This window comes from Homo sapiens, chromosome 16 (genome assembly GCF_000001405.40).
Source record: "Homo sapiens chromosome 16, GRCh38.p14 Primary Assembly".
Classification (NCBI taxonomy): Eukaryota; Metazoa; Chordata; class Mammalia; order Primates; family Hominidae; genus Homo; species Homo sapiens.
Window position 1 is genome coordinate 56,645,052 of NC_000016.10, and position 21,486 is coordinate 56,666,537.

The 21,486-nt window shown below is 48.6% G+C and overlaps 2 protein-coding genes, 1 long non-coding RNA gene and 1 pseudogene across 5 annotated transcripts, besides 3 other annotated features; all 4 read left to right on the forward strand.

The window, feature by feature from the left end:
* Window positions 2,414-2,981: an enhancer, noted in NCBI's record as "H3K4me1 hESC enhancer chr16:56681377-56681944 (GRCh37/hg19 assembly coordinates)". NCBI's record gives its function as "activates a minimal SCP1, AML or CMV promoter by ChIP-STARR-seq in naive H9 embryonic stem cells {active_cell/tissue: H9 hESC(naive)}" and the evidence as "EXISTENCE:reporter gene assay evidence [ECO:0000049][PMID:30033119]".
* MT1CP (metallothionein 1C, pseudogene) lies at window positions 2,638-4,462 on the forward strand (annotated as a pseudogene).
* Window positions 6,835-8,153, forward strand: MT1B (metallothionein 1B). Its single transcript, NM_005947.3, has 3 exons — window positions 6,835-6,930; window positions 7,520-7,585; window positions 7,923-8,153. The coding sequence occupies exons 1-3, from the start codon at window positions 6,903-6,905 to the stop codon at window positions 8,012-8,014; spliced, it is 186 nt and encodes a 61-aa protein (NP_005938.1). The 5' UTR covers window positions 6,835-6,902; the 3' UTR covers window positions 8,015-8,153.
* Window positions 12,258-13,231: an enhancer, noted in NCBI's record as "H3K27ac-H3K4me1 hESC enhancer chr16:56691221-56692194 (GRCh37/hg19 assembly coordinates)". NCBI's record gives its function as "activates a minimal SCP1, AML or CMV promoter by ChIP-STARR-seq in naive H9 embryonic stem cells {active_cell/tissue: H9 hESC(naive)}" and the evidence as "EXISTENCE:reporter gene assay evidence [ECO:0000049][PMID:30033119]".
* MT1F (metallothionein 1F) lies at window positions 12,908-14,252 on the forward strand. 2 transcript variants are annotated; one of them, NM_001301272.2, is made up of 3 exons: window positions 12,908-13,035; window positions 13,624-13,731; window positions 14,022-14,252. In NM_001301272.2, the coding sequence occupies exons 1-2, from the start codon at window positions 13,008-13,010 to the stop codon at window positions 13,728-13,730; spliced, it is 135 nt and encodes a 44-aa protein (NP_001288201.1). In that variant the 5' UTR covers window positions 12,908-13,007; the 3' UTR covers window position 13,731; window positions 14,022-14,252. The 2 variants fall into 2 exon arrangements, with proteins under 2 accessions (NP_001288201.1, NP_005940.1); NM_005949.4 differs by having other exon boundaries at window positions 13,624-13,689.
* Window positions 16,807-17,681: an enhancer, noted in NCBI's record as "H3K4me1 hESC enhancer chr16:56695770-56696644 (GRCh37/hg19 assembly coordinates)". NCBI's record gives its function as "activates a minimal SCP1, AML or CMV promoter by ChIP-STARR-seq in naive and primed H9 embryonic stem cells {active_cell/tissue: H9 hESC(naive and primed)}" and the evidence as "EXISTENCE:reporter gene assay evidence [ECO:0000049][PMID:30033119]".
* Window positions 17,202-21,446, forward strand: LOC101927536 (uncharacterized). 2 transcript variants are annotated; one of them, XR_001752208.2, is made up of 3 exons: window positions 17,202-17,793; window positions 18,120-18,649; window positions 19,740-21,446. It is a non-coding gene; the product is annotated as an uncharacterized LOC101927536 (long non-coding RNA). The 2 variants fall into 2 exon arrangements; XR_001752207.2 differs by lacking the exon at window positions 17,202-17,793 and having other exon boundaries at window positions 18,450-18,649; window positions 19,740-19,871; window positions 20,692-21,446.
* The last annotated feature ends 40 nt before the right edge of the window (window positions 21,447-21,486 follow it).

Below are 21,486 nucleotides of genomic sequence, written 5' to 3' on the forward strand. Positions count from 1 at the left end.
CTCAGGTCCGTTTCCTAGCTAAAAATGTAAGAGCATCAGGCCAGATGATATGAGGGCACAGGAATCAGTCATGGACCTATGCTTTGGTGAGATAAATAGAATGAATAAGTATGAAAAATAAAAATACAAAGTTATTTCTTATATTCAACAAAGAAATCTCAAAACAGATGTGAAGAACAAAATAACAGGAAAAATAAAATACTAACGCTGCACATCTGTTGTAAGGTGCAGTGACGTTCAGTATGAAGGAGGAAGGCCCTGGGTGTCTTGTACTTCATGGCAACTGTTAGTTATCTGGCTATTTGGTGAGGGAATTGCTATTTGATATTCAAAGAGGAAGAGGAGTCACATGGCCCAAGACTAAGCATCATGCTGGCCTAAAGGTGCTTTGTGAAGAGGGGATTTCAGAAGGTAGCCTGGCCAGGTACAGTGGCTCACACCACTTCAGTGGCTCACGTCATGCTCTGCTCAAGCCAAGGCAGGAGAATTGCCTGAGGCCAGAAGTTGGAGACCAGCCTGGGTAACACAGTAAGAACCTCTCTCTATGTAAAACAAAAAATTAAAATAAAACAAGAAGAGAAAGCAGCCTTGGGCAAAGTGCAGGCATTTTGGTGTCACACAAGCAGGTTCACAGCCCACTTCATCCCTTACTGGCTGTGTGACCTGGGCAAGGTGCTTAATCTCTCTGAGGCTTTATTTACTCATTTGTAGAAAGAAGATTATATATCTACATTGGGATGAAATGTGATAGTGGCCTAGCACCTGGTTAGGACTCAATGAAGAGTGCTGTTATAATCATTTGTCCACATGGACTTTCCAGACAGAATCCTGTTAGATCCCATCAAGCTACTTGGGAAAGAGCCAGTTCCTTGGAAGCATGATTGTGGACTGGAAGTTGGGAATGGGTTCGGAGTCTTGCTGATCTGGTCTTAAGGATATGTGGATGACCTCCTGCACCAACTGTCCAGCATAAGACACTGCTCCAGCATTTGGACAGAGAACAAGCCTTTCCCACCCTTCAAGTCACTTGATCTTCACACAAACCAGAGAGACAGTGTGTGCAGAGGCTGCCTATGCAGGGGAGCACTGTCCTCTAGAGTAGTTAACAACCTGCCCAAGGTCACACAACTCAGCACTACAGGTATAGATGAACTTAAGGTACAGCTGTCCTCATGCCCTCTCCAGAGCTGGCAGATCATTGTGTAAGTGGATGCTAAGCTCTGCCTGTCACAGTTTTTAGCTGGAAGGACCCTTGGTTAGTTGACTCCATTGTGCCCTGACTGGATAGATGGCACACGGATGCTCAGGGAGGTTAAGAGCTATGAAGAAAGATTGACTGCCCGCTTGTTACTCTTCCCTCTGCTGTCCCTGTGCCAGGTTTTTCATGTCCTTGTGTTTTACATGAAGTAGTGACATAGGGTGGTGGTTGAAGGAATGATGTTGCATGAGTGTAAATTTCAGGTGTGTCATTTATACCAGGGTGAAACAACCTCTCTGTGGTTCAGGCTCCTACTCTGTTCCCTTGCATAATAACAGGGTCTGGCTGGTAGGAACAAATCACTTAATTCATATAGAGAACTTAATATAGCGTTTGGCATGTCTCAAGTAGTCTGTAATAGCTATGATTTTATTATCTTTATTCATAGCACAGGGACATTTTAGTACTTCCAGACAAATAAACCAGTCCTGGTGGGCTTAGCTGTATGTCCCATGTTGTTCCTAACAATAACATGAGCATATGACCTGTGGATCAGAGAGGGACCCCTACCCATCCACAAATAGGGATCCACACTGCATATATAAAGCCACGAGCAAGATAGTCCCTGTCTGCATAACAGATGCAAAACGATTCTTGCCATTTCTGCCAACACCTGCGCTGCTATTTTCCATAACATTTTCTTTTAAACAATCATATTTCCTTAATGTATTTATAGAAAAAGCAAACTCTTTGACAGTACTGAAAATAAGAATCAGTCTCACCTTGCAGACATGGAAGGTAGCCGTACAATTATATATATCCCTCTGTATCACTTCTGTTGCTCTCCGGATTGACCTTGACATTTGTTTTTGTTTAAAGATTTCAAGCAATAAAGAGGTGCTGAAGACATAGCCAGGCCAAAGAGAAGTTGCATCATTGACCTCTTTGCCTTGAAAAGCTGAGTGGATTGAGACCCGCGGCACCACTTCCACCCTCTGTCCTGGGCTAATTACTTATCTCCTTGTGTTGTCGTCTGATTAGTAAGATGCTGTCATAAAGAGTATTCCTCTTAAGGGTTGCTGTGAGGGTTCAAATAGACAAAGTGACTAAACAGGGTCTGGCTGAGACTAAAAGCGCTGTAACAGTTAAGAATTCTGAAAGTAATAACCATTTTTCATGCTTCTTAATTTAATGCAAGGGTGAGCACACCAGGGAAAAGATCCCTCCCTTGGGAACATTCCAAGTTTTGGGAAGCTCCATCCTTGGGCTTGGTGGGCCAGCGAGGCTGTGGGAAGCCCCAAGAAGTTAAAGCAAAAGAGGACTTGGACAAATGTGCCCATCACCTTCCCAGGAGTGGGGAATGGAAGGGAGGGAGGCAGGGCCGTGTGTCTGCTCTGTTGCTGTGAACAAGACAAACGTGGCCAAAGGACCTGGCTGGCAATGCAGGTGAGGCAAAGGTCACATGGGAGGCTTGTCCTCTGCACACAACTCCCTCGCTGCACTTCCCGCCTCAGTCCTATCTAGGGACATGAGCATTAGGCCGGGGTAGCACACAGACTCCCACAGAGGCGAAGCTCAGGTCATTGGTGCGGGGTGCTGGGCTGGGGACACCGTGACCACCTAAGGCTTGGTTCCTGGACCGCTCAGGGGCAGGAGTGGACTCCAATCCCCGGGAAATTCTGTAGGGCTGGGATTATAGCAGGGACGCCGCCTACCGCCAAAGCGAGCAGGAGTCAAAGGGCAGCCCCCAGGGTGCGCACTGGCAGCGCTAGGGAGGATCCTGCGGCGGGCCCGTCTGCTGCGCACAGCCCGGCCCTGAACCCTAGGGCGCCTCTGACACTGCGGGAGCGGGGGCCAGACTTGGGGCGGGGCCTCTGCGCCCGGCACCCCACCCTAACTACAAAGCCAGAGGTGGCTCCTGAGCTCTGTTCCCCCTCCCACCGGCTTGCCTGCTTCTTCGCCTCTGGCTTAGGTACTCCAGCCTCACCTGGTCTCCAGATGGACCTCAACTGCTCCTGCGACACTGATAAAGGATGCCGGGTTTCGGGGCCTTGGGATCTCCATTTTCATGCCAGAGGATAGAATGTCCCTGCGGCAGGAGGCAGGTGCATTTTGAGCCCTACCTGAAGTGGATTATTTTACTTTGTACTTCTGGTGCTTTTTCTCTTACCAATCGCCTTTATTATCATCACTGAGAACATTACCATAGTCCCAGTGCCTCCCATTTCTAAGGCGAGAGGAATGAGGCTCAAAACTGCCCCTGCTCCGGGTCACCTATAGGCCAGAGGTGTGCTGAGCTGGGACCTAGTGCTGTGTCCAGCTTTTGAGCTGCCTGGGCTAGTAGGGATGTGGGAAACATTGCTTCTTCAAGATTTCCCACTGAGGTCCCCGTGTGCTATGAAAAAGAGGGCGCCTGCCGATCTGAGCCTTTGTGGAGAAAAGGTGGGGCTGGGCTTCCATGTGCCTGAGTGGAACAAGGTACCAGGTTTCCCATGCACTGAGCAAGAGGATGCTGAGGGCCTGCTCCTAACCCTGCAGCACACTCACCGCTCACTGCCTTTTTCTCTTTCCTGCAGCTGGGTCCTGCACTTATGCCAGCTTCTGCAAATGCAAAGAGTACAAATGCACCTCTTGCAAGAAGAGTGAGTGTGGGGCCTTCCCTGGGAATCAGGGTGCTGGGCAGAGTCAGAGGAGGGAACCGAGAGCTCAGCAGGCAGGAGCAGGACAGTGACAAGCTTCCCACATCCCCTTTCTGGTAAGTGATTCTGGATCACAGCTGGAAAAACACAAGATAGTTGATTCCCAACTTTCATTCTTAAAATGGGGAAACTGAGGGCATGTGCGTGCACCAACCTGCCAAGCACAGACCTGACACTTCAGGACTTTCCTCACTTAAGTGTACGGTTTTGGGGAACTGGCTTTCCTTTGTCCCTGTAGCCCCAGTCACTGCCTCTCCAGTCTTCTGTCATCTCTCAGGTATAGGTTGTGCTGGGCAGCTTTTTCACTGGAAGACCCTCACCCCAAAGATCCACCAGTTGAGTCCTAACAGAGCAATGCCACCCTGAACTGAGGGTCCTCTGGGGCTGGAGGCAGGGCTTGAGCCAGGCCTCTGTCAGGGCAGAGAGGTCTCCGGTCGAGTCTGCTCTGACCTCTCACTCTCCCCTTCTTCCCAGACTGCTGCTCCTGCTACCCTGTGGGCTGTGCCAAGTGTGCCCAAGGCTGCATTTGCAAAGGGGCATCAGATAAGTGCAGCTGCTGTGCCTGATGCTGGGACAGCCCTGCTCACAGATGTAGAAAGAGTGACCTATATAAACTTGGAATTTTTTTCCATGCAACCATGACCCATTTACTGTATTTGTCTCTCTTTTATGAAATATGTGAATGATAATAAAAGTTGTTGACTTATTCTGGCTCTGGTTTTCTTTGTATGCATGGAAATAGTGGACCCCATACTCAAGAGAGCTGGTATGTGTGACTGCATTGAGAGTCCAGAGACCTGGGTGCTGGGACCATGCCCTATCATCTTACACCATGAGTGCCTTAAGGAAAACCAGGTTCCCTGTCTCAGATCACTTTTTCAGCTAAAAAAGATTCCTTTAAGATTATAAAATGGTATTTTTACTGTACCTTTCTATGTTTAGCTACACAAATACTTACCATTGTGTTAAAATTGCATAATAGTGTATAGGTTTGAAGCCTAAGAACAATAGGCTAAAGCAGACAGCCAAGCTGTGTAGCAGCCAGTATCAGCTAGGTGTGTGTGAGTACATTCTACAATGTTTGCACAATGACGAAATTGCCTAAAGACATATTTCTTAGAATGCATACCTCTCATTAAGTGACACATGACTGTAATAGGGTTGGACTCGTAGAGGCCAATGATTTAATGGATGTAAAGAACTCAGAATGGTGCCTTGTACATGACCAGTGGTCTATAATATTAACTACTATTTTGTTATTATTATTCACGGCTGCTATGGCCTGAATGCTTGTGTCCCTCCAATATTCATTTGTTGAAATCTAACTTTCACTCTGTTGCTTTTAAGAGGTGGTGCATTTGGGAAGTGACTATGGCATGCAGGCAAAGCGCTCATGAATGGGATTAGTGCCTTAATAAGAGAGGCCTGAGGGAGCTTGTTTAACTCTTTCCACCATGTGAGGACCAGCAAGAAAGAGACATCCATGAGGAATGGGGCCCTCACAAGACTCCAAATATGCTGGTGCCTTGACCTTGGACTTCCATGACTCCAGAACTGAGAGAAATATATTTTTGCTGTTTTAAGTTACCCAGTTTAAGGTATCTGGTGGTAGCAGCCCAAATGGACTCAGACGATAGCATAGTTGACATTTTTACTCCAGACAAAAGAGCCAGGCCTGGTGTCCCTCCCTGTGTGTCCTCTGTCTTTCTCATCAGCCACATAAGCATTGACCTGTGGTCCTGACAGGGTCCTGCACTCTGCCACAAAATAAGGATTCACACCAGAAATATAAAGCCATGAGCAAGACAGTCCCTGTCCCCATCACAGAAATGGAAAGACGCCTGCCAGTTCTGCTACCACCTGCACCAATATGTGACTCAACATTTTTCTTTTAAATGATTCCTATTTCCTTAGATATATTTATATGAAAAGCAAACTCATTAGCGCTACTGAAAAAAGAATCAATTTAACTTCCAGACATAGAAGGTTGCCATGAAATTCTCCTTATTCATACCCCTCTGCATCCCTGTTTTGCTTCCAGGACTGACCTTGATGCTTGGTTTTGTTTAAAGATTTCAAACAGTAAAGAGACGAATATACCTAGGTCAGACGGAAGCTTCATCAGTGCCCTCTCTCCCTTGGGAAGCTGACAGGACTCAGACCCAGCAGTATCATTTCCTAGCCCTCTGACCACGGGCTAGTGGCTTGAACTCCTTGTACTGTCATTGTCCAGATTAGGAATATGGGTTCATAAATAGAATGTGTGTCCCTTTTGGGTTGCTGTGAGGGTTCAAAGATTGAAAGTGATTAAACAGGGCCTAACATGGATTAATGTTATGTACAATAATAGGAATATGGAAGGAAATTGCTTTCTAATTTCATCCAGGATCTGCATGTCACCTTCAATGATCCCTCTTCTGGGGACATCCCACATTTTCCGAATGGCCATCCTGTCGTAGGGCGGCCAGCTAGGCTGTGGGGAGACCCTGGAGAGATTTATGCAAAGGAGGACCTGGACAAATATCCCCATTCAGCTTCTCAAGAGTGGAGAATGGAAGGGAGGGAGACAGAGCCCTGTGTCTCTGTCCTGTTGCTGTGCACAGGAGAAATGTGACTGAGGGACCGAGGTGGGGACATACTCAGGCAAGGTGGGAAATCCAAAGGTCACAGCCTCCACCAGTCCTTTGCACACAACTCTCTCCCTGTGCTCCCGCTGCTGCTGATCCTGAAAGTTGAACACGGGGCTGGGGTTGCACACGGTATCCAGGGAAGGTAACGATGATAACAGTCCTGAGTCAGGCCAGGTCACTGCTCATGGCCCAGGCATGGACCACGGGCAGTGCAGACTCAGCAGGGGTGAGTGCAAGGGCCAGGGCGGGGCCTCTGCACCCCACCACCTCCCCCGACTATAAAGGGAGCAGCCAGCTCCTGGGCTCCATCACACCTTCCTCCTGCCCTGACTTCTCATATCTTGCCTAGGAACTCCAGGCTTGTCTTGGCTCCAAATGGATCCCAACTGCTCCTGCACCACAGGTAAGGGACGCCTGGCTCTGGGCCTTGAGATGCCCATTCCCGGCCACTGTACACAGTGTCCCTGGGTTAGAGAAGGTTGCATTATGAGATGTGAGTTGAAGGGAACTCGTTTACTTTTGCCAGTGCTTTCCTCTTGCCCAAGCTCCTGTGAGCATCTCCCTCCTCTGTGCTTGTAAGTCAGAGTTGGGGATTCTGAGGATCGAGGCTGTCCTGCTCCATGTCACCCACCTAGTCAGGGGGCTGCTGGCTGCGCCCCAGTGCTCTGCTCTAACTCTGAGCAGCCGGGAAGGGTGAGAGGTGGGGGACATAGCCTCTTCAGAGTTCAACACAGAAGGTTTTGGCCTCCAGCCCCAGTCTTCCTGGACTGTGTGTGGAGCTGGGACCTTCCTGATGGGGTATATAAAGAAGGGTGCTTGCCCTTCCCAGCCTGAGTGGAGAGGACATGGGGCTTCTGTTCCTCCGCTCTGAGTGGGAAAGGAGCTCTGATGGCTGGCCCTGCACAGAGGATGGCGCACTGGACACTCATGGACTCACTGCTGTACCTTCTGCATCTTACTCACTGCCCACTGCCTTTTTCGCTTCCTTGCAGGTGGCTCCTGTGCCTGCGCCGGCTCCTGCAAGTGCAAAGAGTGCAAATGTACCTCCTGCAAGAAGTGTGAGTGTGGGATCATCTCCAGGAATCTGGGGCTGTGGCTAAGCTTGGAAGGGAACACAAGGCTGGCCCTGAGTGCATGCTTTTGGGAACTGGTCTTCCTTTGCCCCTGTTGGCTGTGTCATTCCCTCTCCAGGCTTTCTGCTCTGAGCTCAGATGGGTCAGGGCAGACTTTTTCTATTGGGACACAAACCTCAAATGTACCATCAGAACACAGCTGTGCCAGCCTAAAAATGCATCCTCTGGGTGTGGGGGCTGAACTTCAGCCAGGCTTGCTGTTGGGACAGAGAGGTTCCTGGTCAAGTCAGCTGTGACCTCTCACTCTCCCCTTCTTCCCCAGGCTGCTGCTCTTGCTGCCCCGTGGGCTGTGCCAAGTGTGCCCAGGGCTGTGTCTGCAAAGGCTCATCAGAGAAGTGCCGCTGCTGTGCCTGATGTTGGGAGAGCCCTGCTCCCAGACATAAATAGAGCAACCAGTACTAACCTGGATTTTTTTTTTTAACTACCCTGACCGGTTTGCTACATTCTTTTTTCTATTCAATATGTGAAAGACAATAAAACACTTTTGACTTGATTCTGACTCTCCTTTTCCTTTCTGTGGCTTGGAAATAACAGTTGGAGTGGGGGATTGAACTGGGAATTTAAAGACCTGGTTCTGGATGGAAATGTGAGCCCCTATAGTCTGAATACCTTCAGGCAAGCCCGGTTACCTCCCTGAGCTCCATCTTCTGTAAAATGGAACTGCACTGTGTGGGATCACATGACGGGGTTGGGGGGACATGCATGATCGCCTCGGGTCATGTCAAATGTGCAAATGTGGCAGAGAAACTTCTCCATTTCTCATTTTTATTTTCTGATTTCCCTGCTCAGCTTCAGTCCCTCATCAGATTTTAGGCTTGAAAGTGATGACGGGGTGGAATCCAACTCCTCAGTTGCTTGAGCTCTACACGGGGCTTCTCGAACTCCACAGTGAAGAAACATTTTCTAATTCCAATCCATCCCAGGCCTAAACCTTTGTAAATAAAATAATATTAATTACAGATATAATGAAATCAAACACAAAATACAGAAACCATTTTAAGATTCAACAGGAAACATTTCAATAAGTATACACAGAAATAACAGGAAAATGAGAGATTCACAAACTTTGCCCATATTTTGCTTATGTGCATTGCAGACTGGAATCAGCAGACTGGTCCCAGGGTGTGGCTCACACACCTTGAGCAGCACTGCCCAGCACGTCCCCACAGGAACCATCAGGCTTGGCCTGCCTAGTGTCACTGACAGGACACTCACTGACCCCAGAGAGCTCCCAGTTGTGACTTGGCTCTGAATCTTTTTTTTTTTTTTTTTTTTAAACGGCGTCTTGCTTTGTTGCCCAGGCTGGAGTGCAGTGGTGCGATCTTGGCTAACTGCAAGCTCCGCCTCCCAGGTTCATGCCATTCTCCTGCCTCAGCCTCCCGAGTAGCTGGGACTACAGGCGCCCGCCACCACGCCCGGCTAATTTTTTGTATTTTTAGTAGAGACGGGGTTTCACCGTGTTAGCCAGGATGGTCTCGATCTCCCGACCTCGTGATCTGCCCGCCTCAGCCTCCCAAAGTGCTGGGATTATAGGCATGAGCCACCGCGCCCAGCCGGCTCTGAATCTTTGCAAGCTCCACCCAAGCTCAAGCTGAATTTGTTCCTCTTTCTAAATTCCAGCCTTTGCCTACTTCAAAACATCAAAGCGACTGGAGATGTGGAGGGAAATGCCCAGCATGTTCCCAGCAGGGTGCAGTGTGTGTCATCGTGGGTTGCAGAAGAAGTTCTTCGTGTCTGCCCATGCAGGGGTGATGGAGGACTCTGCGGTTTGGAGGGTGTGGTGGTGCTCATTAAGGAGTGAGTCCCTGGCTGATTTATAATAAAAGCCAACAATTAGTCCCCCTGGCTCTGTGGAGGGAATGCTATTTGATGTTCAATCAAAAAGGAAAATGAATTTCCTGGCCTAGAGATCAGGACCATGCTTACCCACTGCTTCCCTGTGAAGAGGAGATTTCAGAGGGCAGCCTGAGCCTAGGACATGGATTTTCGTGTCAGGCAGTCCTGGTTCACAGCCTGCTTCACCGCCAAAAAAAAAGTAAGATTCTCATCTCTGAAAGAAAAAAGAAAAAAAGAAGAAAAAGTTAAAAATAAATAAATAATGAGGCTTATGATTATTCTCTCTACACTCACTTTCTTTTTATTTATTTTTTAATTAATTAATTAATTTTTTTGAGATGGAGTCTCCCTCTGTTGTCCAGGCTGGAGTGCAGTGGTGGGATCTCAGCTCTCTACAGCCTCCGCCTCCCGGGTTCAAGCGATTCTCCCACCTCAGTCTCCTGAGTAGCTGGGATTACAGATGCACACCACCACGCCCAGTTAAGCTTTGTATTTTTGTAGAGGCAGTGTTTCACCCTGTTGGCCAGGCTGGTCTCGATCTCCTGATCTCAAGTGATGCGCCAACCTTGGCCTATCAAATGCTGGGATTACAGGTGTGACCCACTGCACATAGCCTACACTACTTTCTTAGACAAATTCTGTTAAATCCCAACGACCTCCTGGAGAAAGGCTCATAGGTTTGGAAGCATTACTCTGGATTAGATGCTGGGAATGAGATTGCAGCCTGGTGATCCTGCCGGGAGGAATGTGGTATTGGATAAGATGCTGCTGCTTGGCATTTGTACAGACACAAAAGCCTTTCTCAGCCTTCATATCACTGGATCTTCACAGAACCTTGGGAATGAGAGCCACAGGCCTCAGAACCAGGACAGCAAATATGCAGGGCCTGGAGTGCCTGTGCTGTCTTCCAGAGTAGTTAATCAACCTGCCTAAGACCATGGAGCTCAGAAGTGAAGGGATGCATGAACCTATGTTACCCCTGGCCTGTTGTCCTGGTCACAGCTGGCAGAGCATGATCTGCTAATCACTGGATGCTATACTCTGTCTACCGTGGTTCAAATCTATAAAGATGCTTCGGGATAGACCGATTTTGCACTTGGCTTAAGAGATGAGCACTGAAGCCCAGAGAGGTCACAGAGCTGTGGAGGGGGAAAGTGACTGCCAACTGAATGTGCTTCCCACGGCTGCCTTTGGGCCAGATTTTCCGTGTCCTCATCTTTCTTGCGACTTGGTAGCATAGAGTGGTGGGTGAGGGCATGATGCTGTCATTAGCATGCATGAATGCAAATCCCGCCTCTGTCACTTTAGCTGTGCCTTGCAACCTCTCTGTGTCTCAGTCTCCTCCCCTGTAAAAGGTGCATAATAATGGCATCTGGCATGTAGGATTAAATAATTTAATACATGTAAGAAACTTGGAATGATGCCTGGCAAGTGGTGAGTAGTCTACAATATTAGCTATTGCTTCTTTAAAACAATCAATACACATAGCATAGGGGATATTTGTTCATTCACAGACAGAGCAGCCAGGCCTGGAATGCCTAGCTGTGTATGCTGTCATTGTCATCTACCACTCAAACACGGGTCCTGTGGACCTGAGAGTTATTCACTGTTCCCACAAAAATGTCATCAACACAGGGTTAAAAAGCTATGAGCAAGATGCTGTGCCTCATGTCACAAATAGAATGACAGCCATTTCTGCTGCCATGTGCACATTTTATTTATCATTTCACATTGAAATGATTAATACTTTCTTAAATATATTTTTATGAAAGCAAACTCTCTTCCACCACCAAAAATGAAAATCAGTCTTATCCATATGTAGAAGATAGCCAGAAAAGTATATATGTGTGCATGTGTATGTATGTATATATATATGCTTATTACACTTATGGATTGCTTTTGTCATTGCCCATGGTTGAGCTGGCGACTTTGTCATTATTATTATTATTATTACTATTTTGAGACAGAGTCTCTCTCTGTCACCCAGGCTCGAGTGCAGTGGCACAATTTTGGCTCACTGCAACCTCAGCCTCCCAAGTAGCTGGGATTACAGGCTCGTGCCACCACGCCTGGCTAATTTTTGTATTTTTAGTAGAGATGGGGTTTTGCCATGTTGGCCAGGCTGGTCTTGAACTTCTGGCCTGCAGTGATCTGCCCACCTCAGCCTCCCAAAGTGCTGGGATTACAGGCGTGAGCCACGGTGCCCGGCCTGACTTGTTATTATTTAAAAGATTTCAAGCCATAGGGAAGTCCAGCAATAGAGAAGACATAGCTGGGCCTTATTTCAGAGAATTTCTCCTGAGAGGCTGGCTGGATTCAAATCAGTGCACAGCTTTTTAGCTCTGTGACGATGAGCACGTTGCTTGAACTTTCTTTGTTGTAGGTGTCCATTTATTAATATGGGTTCATGCCTAGTATTTCCCTTTACAATTGTTGTAAAGGTTCAAACAATGAAAATGATTAAAAGGAGACTGGCACAGACTCAACCTTAAGCAATTGCTAGTAATATTGAAGGGAATTAACCACTTGTCTTTCTTACTTCTTATGTTAAGTTTTTCTTTTTCTTTTTCTTTTCTTTCTTTTCTTTTCTTTTTTTTTTTTTTTTTTTTTTTTTTTTTTTTTTGAGAGGGAGTTTCACTCTTGTTGCCCAGGATGGAGTGCAAAAATGGTGCGATCTCGGCTCACCGCAAACTCCGCCTTCAGTGATCTCGCTTCTGGGGGCATCCCATATTTTCCAAACTGCCATCCTATAGTGGGGTGCCCGTCGAGGCTGTGGGGAGACCCCGGAGAGATTTATGCAAAGGAGGACCCAGACAAATGTGCCCATTCAGCCTCTCAAGAGTGAAGAATGGAAGAGAGGGGGGCAGAGCCCTGTGTCTTCCGTGTTGCTGTGCGCAGGAGAAACATGGCCAAAGGACTGAGGTGGGGTGACAGGGACAGGCAATGCTAGAGATCCGAAGGTCACATCCTCGGCCTGTCCTTTGCACACTACTCCCTTGCTAGGCTCCCTGCTCCCGCCAATCTAGACAGTGGCGCAAGAGACTGGGGTTGCACTGGGACTCCAGGAAAGGCTTAGCTGTTGACGAAGGACCGGGGCGGGGCCGGGGGGCGGGGCGAAGGCCAGGATCTCCAGGTACCCGGAACCCCAAGGGGCGGGTGTAGCAGGCAATCTTGGCGAAACTGGGAAGGGCGGGCAGGAGGGCAGGGAAGCCGCTCACCCAGGCACAAAGCGCCTCCCGCTTGAGCGGACTCCAAAGGGACGGTCCGCGGTGTGCAGCGAGCTGCGCTCAGGGGACCTTGCGCCCGGCCCTTCTGCTGCACACAGCCCACCCAGGACCTCCCGCAGCGCTGACAGGCGGGGCGGGTGCAAAGACGGGGCGGGGTCTCTGCGCCCGGCCCCCTCCCCTGACTATCAAAGCAGCGGCCGGCTGTTGGGGTCCACCACGCCTTCCACCTGCCCCACTGCTTCTTCGCTTCTCTCTTGGAAAGTCCAGTCTCTCCTCGGCTTGCAATGGACCCCAACTGCTCCTGCGCCGCTGGTAAGGAACGCCGGGTTCCGTGCCTGGGGATGCTCGATTCCCAGACACCATAGAGAGTGTTCCTGGGTTTGAGAAGGTCGTATTTTGAGATCTCAACTGTAGGGGACTCCTTGACTTAGTCCAGTGCTTTCCTCTTGGCCAAGATCCTGAGAGCATTTCCTTCCTCTCTGTGCCTCTGTGTCAGCGTTGAGGGTACTGAGGCTCAAGGCTGTCCTGCTCCACGTCATGCGGTTTGTCCCAGGGCTGTTGGCTGAGCCCCAGTGCTCTGACCAGGCTTTGAGCAGCAGGATTAGATAGGAGGCAGGGGACATTGCCTCTTCGGGGTTCAGGACAGAAAGTCGAAGTCGCCGTCTTCCCAGGCTGTGCCTGGAGCCTGGGACTTTCCTTTGGAGTGCAAACAGGAGGCTGCTTGGCCTTCCCAGCATGAAGGGAGAGGACATGGGGCTTCTCTTCCTCTGCTCTGAGTGGGAAAGGAGCTCTGAGGGCTGGCCCCGCACAGAGGAGGGGGCAATGGAGACTCATTAACTCACTGCTGTACCTCCTGCAGGTCACTCGCCGCTCACTGGCTTTTTTTTCTCTTTCTCGCAGGTGTCTCCTGCACCTGCGCTGGTTCCTGCAAGTGCAAAGAGTGCAAATGCACCTCCTGCAAGAAGAGTGAGTGTGAGGCCATCTCCATGGTCTGGGGCTGTGGCTAAGGTTGGGATGGAACCCAAGGCTGGCCCTGAGTGCATGCTTCTGGGGAACTGGCCTTCCTTTGTCCCCGTAGGTTGTCACTGCCTTTCTAGTCTTCTGCCCTGTGCAGGGCGCCTGGGCAGCTTTCTCATAGGAAGACCCACCCCAGATATTTCCCAGTTGTCTCCTGACAAAGCCATACCCTCCTGAACTGAGGGTCCTTTGTGGCTGGAGGCTCTGTTGGGGGCCTCTGTTGGGGAGGGAGGTCCCTGGGCAAGTTGGCTGTGACCTCTCATGCTCCTCTTCTTCCCCAGGCTGCTGCTCCTGCTGCCCCGTGGGCTGTAGCAAGTGTGCCCAGGGCTGTGTTTGCAAAGGGGCGTCAGAGAAGTGCAGCTGCTGCGACTGATGCCAGGACAACCTTTCTCCCAGATGTAAACAGAGAGACATGTACAAACCTGGATTTTTTTTTTATACCACCTTGACCCATTTGCTACATTCCTTTTCCTGTGAAATATGTGAGTGATAATTAAACACTTTAGACCTGATTCTGACTTCAGTTTCCCTTATGTGCTTCAGAAATCAGAGACTGGGGTGGGGGATCGAACTAGGGTTGCAGACTCCTGGGCTCTAAATGGAAATCTGAGTCCCTAACAATCAGAGTGCATTAAGGCAAGCCAGGCTGCCTCACTGTGCTTCCTCTTCTGTAGAATGGAATAACACTTCATCAGGTCATTGGTGGGGATCCAGAATACAGGATCACCTTCATTCTCAAATGTGGCACAGAAACTTCTCAATGCCTCCTGTTCCTTCTCTGATTTCTCTGCCCAACTTCAATTCCTCTTTGGATTTCAGGTTAGAAAGTGACTACACGGAATGGAATCAAACCCCTTAGTTATTTGAATTCTACACCGGGCTTCTCAAACTCCAGGGTGAAGGAGGGGTTTTTAATTCCTATCCATTCCACATCTAAACCTTGGTAAATGAAATAATACTAATGATGGAAGTCATGAAATTAAATTCAATATACAAAATCTGGCCGAGCAGGATGACTCACACCTATAATCCCCATACTTTGAGAGGCTCAAAAGGGAGGATCACTTGACACCAGGAGTTTGAGACCAGCCTTGGCAACATAGGGAGACCCTTGTCTCTAAATAAATAAATAAACACTTAACAAGGTGTGGTGGAGCAAGTCTGTAATCGTAGCTACTTGGAGGCTGAGGCAGGAGAATCCATCTAGCTCAGGAATTGAAGGCTGCAGTGAGCCATGTTTGCACCATTGCATCGCAGTCTGGGTGACAGAAGGAGACCTCATAAAAAAAATTACAAAATCCATTTTTAGACTCAACAGGAAAAAGTTCAATAAATATAAAAAGAAATACCAGGAAAATTACAACTTTATAAACTATGTATATGTTGATGGATGCCGTGCACTGCAGACTGTAAACAGCAGACAGGCCCTAGTGTGTAGATTACACACTTTGAGCAGCAGTGGTCATGACATCCTGACAAGGAACCATCAGTCCTGGCTGGCCCAGTGTCACCAACAGGACACTCTCTGACCCCTGAGTGCGCCCTGTAGTGACTTGTGTCTGAATCTTTGGCAGTTTCTCCCAAGATTAAGCTATTTTTGTTCTTTAAATTCCAACCTTCATTAATTCAGGGCAGCAAAGTGACTGGAGATGTGGAGGAAAGCGTCATCTCGGCAACGCAGAGTCATGAGAAGGACTGGGTGCAGATGAAGGATGTTGAGTGTGCTGATGCAGTGGTGATGGCATATTCTGCAGTTGGAAGGTGTGTTGCTGTTCAAGAAGGAGAGAGGAGTCACCCTGGTGACTGGTAGTTAGGCCAACAGTAGGTTCCACTGGCTACTGGTTCGAGAATTGCTATCTGATGTTCAATCACAGAGGAAGAGGAGTTAAGTGGCCCAGGAGTCAGGACCATGCTTGCCCGCAGGTGCCCTTTGTGAAGAGGGCATTTCAGAAGGCAGCGTGGGTCATGTGCAAGTTTGGGTGTCACATAACCAGATTCACAGCCCACTTCACACCTTCCTGGCTGTGTAGCTGGCACAAGTCACTTAACCTCTCTGTGCCTCCATTTCCTCACTTGTAGAAAGCAGATTATAAATATATGTAGGGATTAAATGTGATAGTGCCCTGGTACCTGGCTCGGGCTTAATAAACAGTGCTGTTATAATCATTTGTCCACGTGCACTTCCTGGAGATAGAATCCTGTTACATCTCATCAAGCTCCTTGGGTAACACTAATCTGCCTGGAGGTATTATGTGGACTGGAAGTTGAGGATGGGTCTCTTGTTGATCTGGTCTTAAGGGCATGTGGATGACCTCCTGCACAAAATTGTCCAGGATGAGACACTGCTGCAGCATTTGGACAGAGAACAATCCTTTCCCACCATGTTGAGTATAAAAAGTAGACTTTGTTTTTATATTTCATACTAATTCATTTTAGTTTATTTTGCCAAAGCTTAGGTCTGTTACAGATGCCCATACCATGATATCTCTTACGTGCTATCCCCAACCCCTCCCTTCCTCCCTCTGCGCACCATCGCCACCAGCTTTGCCTCTCTGGGGTCCGTGTGCAGCTCCATCCTCTTGCTCACCTTCTACACTGGCTGTAGCAGGGAGCGGAGCTAGTGAGCAGTGTGCAGATGAGCCACGGTGGAGGTGACTTGCTTCTCCCTCACCCTCCCCTCTCATTGTCTGTCCTTCTTCCCACCTAGGACCCTCAAAATCGTTTCCGCTGCAGACAGAATGTGGCAACCAAGGGTCGGCCTCTCTCTCTGTTCCTTCGATGCTCCTCCTCTGAGGTGATGGTGGGCACATTTGTCAGTTTCCTCCTTTTCATATAGTTCTCCTGGACTATCCCAGGCCTGCCAGCCACCCCACTGCAGGATGGCAGTTTTGAAAATGAGGGGCACCCTCCAAAGAGGATGACTTTGGGTGACATGCAGACCCTGCGGTCAATCAAGGAGAGTAGTGGGTATTTCTCTTCAATGTTCTTATCATGTAACATTTAGAACGTGCCAGGCCTCTTTAAATCATTCATTCCTTGAACACTCCCAATAATCCTAAAGGGAAATGCTATTTATGAACCCATTTTACTAATCTGACAACTATAACAAGAGGTTTAAGTAACTTGCTCAACATCAGAGAGCTGAAAACTTATCACTGATTTAAATCTAGCCAGCCTCTCAAGAGAAGCTGTCCATGATCAAGCTTTCCTTTGGCCCAGGTATGTCGTCAGCACTTTTCTATTGCTGGAAATCTTTTTTTTTTTTTTTTTGAGACGGATTCTCCCTGTGTCGGCCAGGCTGGAGTGCAGTGGCTCCATCTCAGCTCACTGCAACCTCAATCTCGGCTCACTGCAACCTCCGTCTCCCAGGCTCAAGCAATTCTCCTGCCTAAGCCTCCAGAGTTAGCTGGGACTACAGGCGTGTGCCAAGATGATGCTTGACTCTGAGCTGGCGCAGGTGCAGGACCCACCTGCAGGGAAGAGAAAAAGGCAGTGAGCAGTGAGTGTGGTGCAGGGTTAGGAGCAGGCCCTCAGCATCCTCATGCTCAGTGCATGGGAAACCTGGTACCTTGTTCTGCTCAGGCACACGGAAGCCCAGCCCCATCTTTTCTCCACACAGGTTGTGATAGGCAGGCGCCCTCCTAATTTTACTCCACAAGGCCTTATGTCAGGAATCCTTAAGAGGCAATGCTCCCTGCCTCCCATCCACTTCAGGCAGCTCTAATGCGGGACAGAGCACTGGGTCCCAGCCCAGGACCCTACTGGCTATCTGGGTGACCCGGAGCAGGGCAGTTTTGAGCCTCAGTCCTCTAGCCTCAGAAATGGAAGGCACTGGGAAGATGACAACAGTCTAAGTGGTGATGAAGGCGCTTGGCAGGAAGAAAGCACCGGAAGTGCAAAGTAAAGGAGGCCACTTTAGGGAGAGCTAACATGCACCTCCCTCCTGCCCCGGGGACATTCCATCCTCTGGAATGAAAATGGAGATCCTAAGGCCCGAAACCCGGTATCTCTTACTAGTGGAGCAGGAGCACTTGGGGTACATTTCGAGCCGAGGTGAGGCTGGGGTTTCTAAGGGAGGGGCGTAGAAGCAGTGGGGCAGGTGGGAGGCATGGTGGATTCCATGAAGCGGGCGATCAATTTATAGTTAGAGGAGGGGGCCGGGTGCAGAGCACCCCCTCCCCCACCCCCACGCGGAATCCGCGGCGCCTGCGGTCCTGGGTTGGGATGTGCGCAGCAGGCGAGTCGGGAGCACCATCCCCTGAGCGCAACCTGGTGGGCCCCCTGGGGCCGCCCCTTTGGCGCCCGCTAGTGCGGGAGGGGCTATGCTCCCGGAGGTACGTGGCGCCCCTGCCACCCTGAGAGCTATTTTCTATTCCCAGGTGGTCGCGTTATCCTCATCCCCCGCCCTGCACCTTCGTCATCAGCTTTGCCTCTCCCGTGTCCGTGTGTAGCTCCATCCTCGTGCTCGCCTTCTTCATTGGCGGAAGCTGGGAGCCGAGAGAGTGAGCCGTGCGCAGATGTGCGGCGGTGGAGGTGGCTTTTGTTTCTCCTCCGCGCCCCCTCCCCCCCCGCCCCGCACATTGCCTGTCGCTCTTCCCACCTAGGACCCTCAAACTGGTTCCCCCTGTACACAGAACCTGGCGACCACGGATCATCCCCTCTCTCTTCCTTCGATGCGATCATATAACATTTAGATTTTGCCAGGCCCCTTTAAATCATTGCTTCTTTGAACCCTCCCAACAATCCTAAAGGGAAATACTGTTTATGAACCCGTTTTACTAATCTGACAATTATAGCATAAAGTTTAAGTAACTTGCTCAACATCACGGAATGGAAAAGTTGTCACTGATTTGAATCCAGCCAGCCTCTCAAGAGAAAGTGTCGATGATCAAGCCTTCCTTTGGCCCAGGTATGTCATCAGCATTTCCCTATTGCTGGAAATCTTTTAAACAATGTCAAGCCACAAGCTGAACCATAAGCCGTGACAAAAGCAATCTATAACTGTAATATATATACACACACATACAACACACATTTATACTTCTTCTGACTATCTTCTATGTGTGGAATAAGACTGATTTTCATTTTTGCTGCGGGAAAAGAGTTTGCTTTAAATGAAAACATATTTAAGAAAATATTAATAACTTCAATATTGTATGTTAAATACAGTGACTGGGAGGGCAGAAATGATATTCTTTTTGATCTGACATGAGGCATGGAATCTTGTTTATACGTTTACATCCCTAGTGTTAGCGAATGTCCCTTTGACCACAGGACACATGTTCATGTAGTAGATGAGAATAACAAGATACACAAGTGAGAACATCTGGCCTGGCTGCTTTGTCTGTGAGTAAATAAATATCCCTCATGCTATGTATAATGAGAAAAAAAAAGCAACAGTTATTGTTATAGATGACTTACCCCTTGCCAGGCACCATTCTAAGTTCCTTACATGAATTAAATCATTTAATTTTACAAGCCAGATACTATTATCCTCCAGTTGATAAGACTGAGACACAGAGGTTGTGTCACACACAAAGTGGCAGAGGTGGGATTTGCACTCACGCAGGCTGACTGCAGCATCGTGCCCTTACCCCATGCTCTATGCCACCAAGTCAATACAAGGATGAGGATGCTGAATGTCTGGCCGTGAGGCAGCTTTGGAAGCACATTGAGTTGGCAGTCAGATCGCTGTGCATAGCCATGGACCTCTCTGGGCTTCAGTTCCTATCTCTCAAGCCAAGAGCAAAATTTGTTCATCTCCAAAGTCCTTTATAGCTTTGAACAGAGATTGGCAGGGTTTGGCATCTAGGGATGCCATGATCTGCCAGCTGTGGGCAGGGCCAGAGGCCAGCCTTACCATAGGTTCATCCATCCCTTTCCTTCTCAGCTGTGTGGCATTGGGGAGGTTGCTTAATTCCTCTGAAAGATGACTCAAGCACACCAGCCCCTGAATATTTTCTGTCCCTGTCCTGAAGCTTGTGACCTTCATTCAACAGGTTACATGAAGGTCAAATGACATGAAGAATGGGAAAGGATTTTATGAGTGTTCAAATGTTGGGGGAGCGTCTTATCACAGAGGACTTTCTGCAGGAGGACATCCACACTCCTCCTGTCACTGGATCAGCCAGGTATGCAACCACTTCACAGCATCCCACCCAGAGCAATGCTTCCAAACCAATGAGCCTTTCTCCAGGAGTGAGTTAGGATTTAATGGTATCTTTTTCCAAGAAAGTCAGTGCAGAGAGAATGATCATAATCACCATTGTTTATTAAAGCCTAGGCAGCAGCCAGGCCACTCTCTTATTTTCTTTTTTTCTTTTCCTTTTTTTTTTTTGAGACAGAGTCTCATTCTGTTGCATAGCCTGGAGTGCAGTGGCACAATCTTGGCTGACTGCAGCCTCTATATCCTGGACTTAAGCAATCTTCCCATCTCAGCCTCCAGAGTAGCTCAGACAGACACAGGCCACCAGAGCCATATAATTTTTGTATTTTTTGTAGAGACGGGGTTTCTCCATGTTGCCCGGGCTGGTCTCAAACTCCTGGGCTCAAACAGTCTCCCTACTTCTGCCTCCCAAAGTGCAGGTATTACAGGCATGAGCCACTATGCCCGGCCCACACTCTCATTTAATCCCTGCATTGAGATATAATCTCCTTTCTACAAATGAGGCACTAGATGCTCAGAGAGTGTGGGTGACTTGCCCAAACCACACAGCCAGTAAGTGGTGGAGTGGGCTGTGAAATAAGACTCCCTGACACCTAAAACTATGCCCTAGGGGCAGGCTGCCTTCTGAAATCATTTCACAAGGAAGCAACAGGTAAGTGTGGTCCTGACTTCTACACAAGGAGATTCATCTTCCTCTTTGACTGAACATCAAATAGCATTCCCTCCACAAGTGGAGGGACTAACTTGTCATTAACAAGACATCCAGGGACTCTTTCTTTCCTAAGGAACATCACCACACTCAGCCAGCTGCACAATCTGCCATAGCTGTGTTCTGAGAACTTCTGTAAACAAAGTAATATTAATTATGGAGATGATGAAATCACAATCAAAATTCCAAACTAAGTTCATCTGCAACCCACGATCACACTACATCTTGGCGGGAATATGCTGGTTTGAAGTAGTCAAGGGCTGGAGTTTGAAAGAGGAACAAATGAAGCCTGACCTTGGGAGGAACTTCCAAAGATTCTGAGCCAACTCCCAACAGGGAGCTCTCAGGATTCAGCGAGTGTCCTGAGTGTGCTGTCTGTCTGTGACGCCGGCTAGGCCAAGCCTGATGGTTCCTCATGAGAATGTCCTGGCCTGTGCTGCTGAAGGTGTGGTCCACAGTGGGGTCAGTCTGCTGTTTCCAGTCTCCAATGCAACTCATCCATGAACATATGTGCAGAGTTTGTAAACCTTCCATTTTTCTGTTATTTCTGTATGTATTTATTGATTTTTTTGTGTAAAATGTAAAACATGGGTTCTGTATTTTGTGTTTCATTATCTTCATAGTTAATATTACTTTATTTACAAAGGTTTAGGTCTGGGATGGATAGAAAATGAAAACTGTCCCTTCACCGTGGAGTTTGAGAAGCCCCGTGGAGGATTCAAGTAATTTAGGCATTGGAATCCACCTCCTGTGGTCACTTTCAAGCCTAAAATCCGCGGAGGATCTGAACTTGGGCAGGGAAACCTGAGAATAAACATGAGGAATGGAGAAGTCTCTGTACCACGTTTAATGAGTGGAGCTGATCGCGTAT

Bases quoted from the DNA above. Each gene is read 5' to 3' on its own strand.
- MT1B (NM_005947.3), top strand. From the start codon at position 6,903: ATGGATCCCAACTGCTCCTGCACCACAG. The intron at 6,931-7,519 runs GTAAGGGACGCC...GCTTCCTTGCAG, and splicing joins CAACTGCTCCTGCACCACAG to GTGGCTCCTGTGCCTGCGCC. The intron at 7,586-7,922 runs GTGAGTGTGGGA...CTTCTTCCCCAG, and splicing joins ATGTACCTCCTGCAAGAAGT to GCTGCTGCTCTTGCTGCCCC.
- MT1F (NM_005949.4), top strand. From the start codon at position 13,008: ATGGACCCCAACTGCTCCTGCGCCGCTG. The intron at 13,036-13,623 runs GTAAGGAACGCC...TCTTTCTCGCAG, and splicing joins CAACTGCTCCTGCGCCGCTG to GTGTCTCCTGCACCTGCGCT. The intron at 13,690-14,021 runs GTGAGTGTGAGG...CTTCTTCCCCAG, and splicing joins ATGCACCTCCTGCAAGAAGA to GCTGCTGCTCCTGCTGCCCC.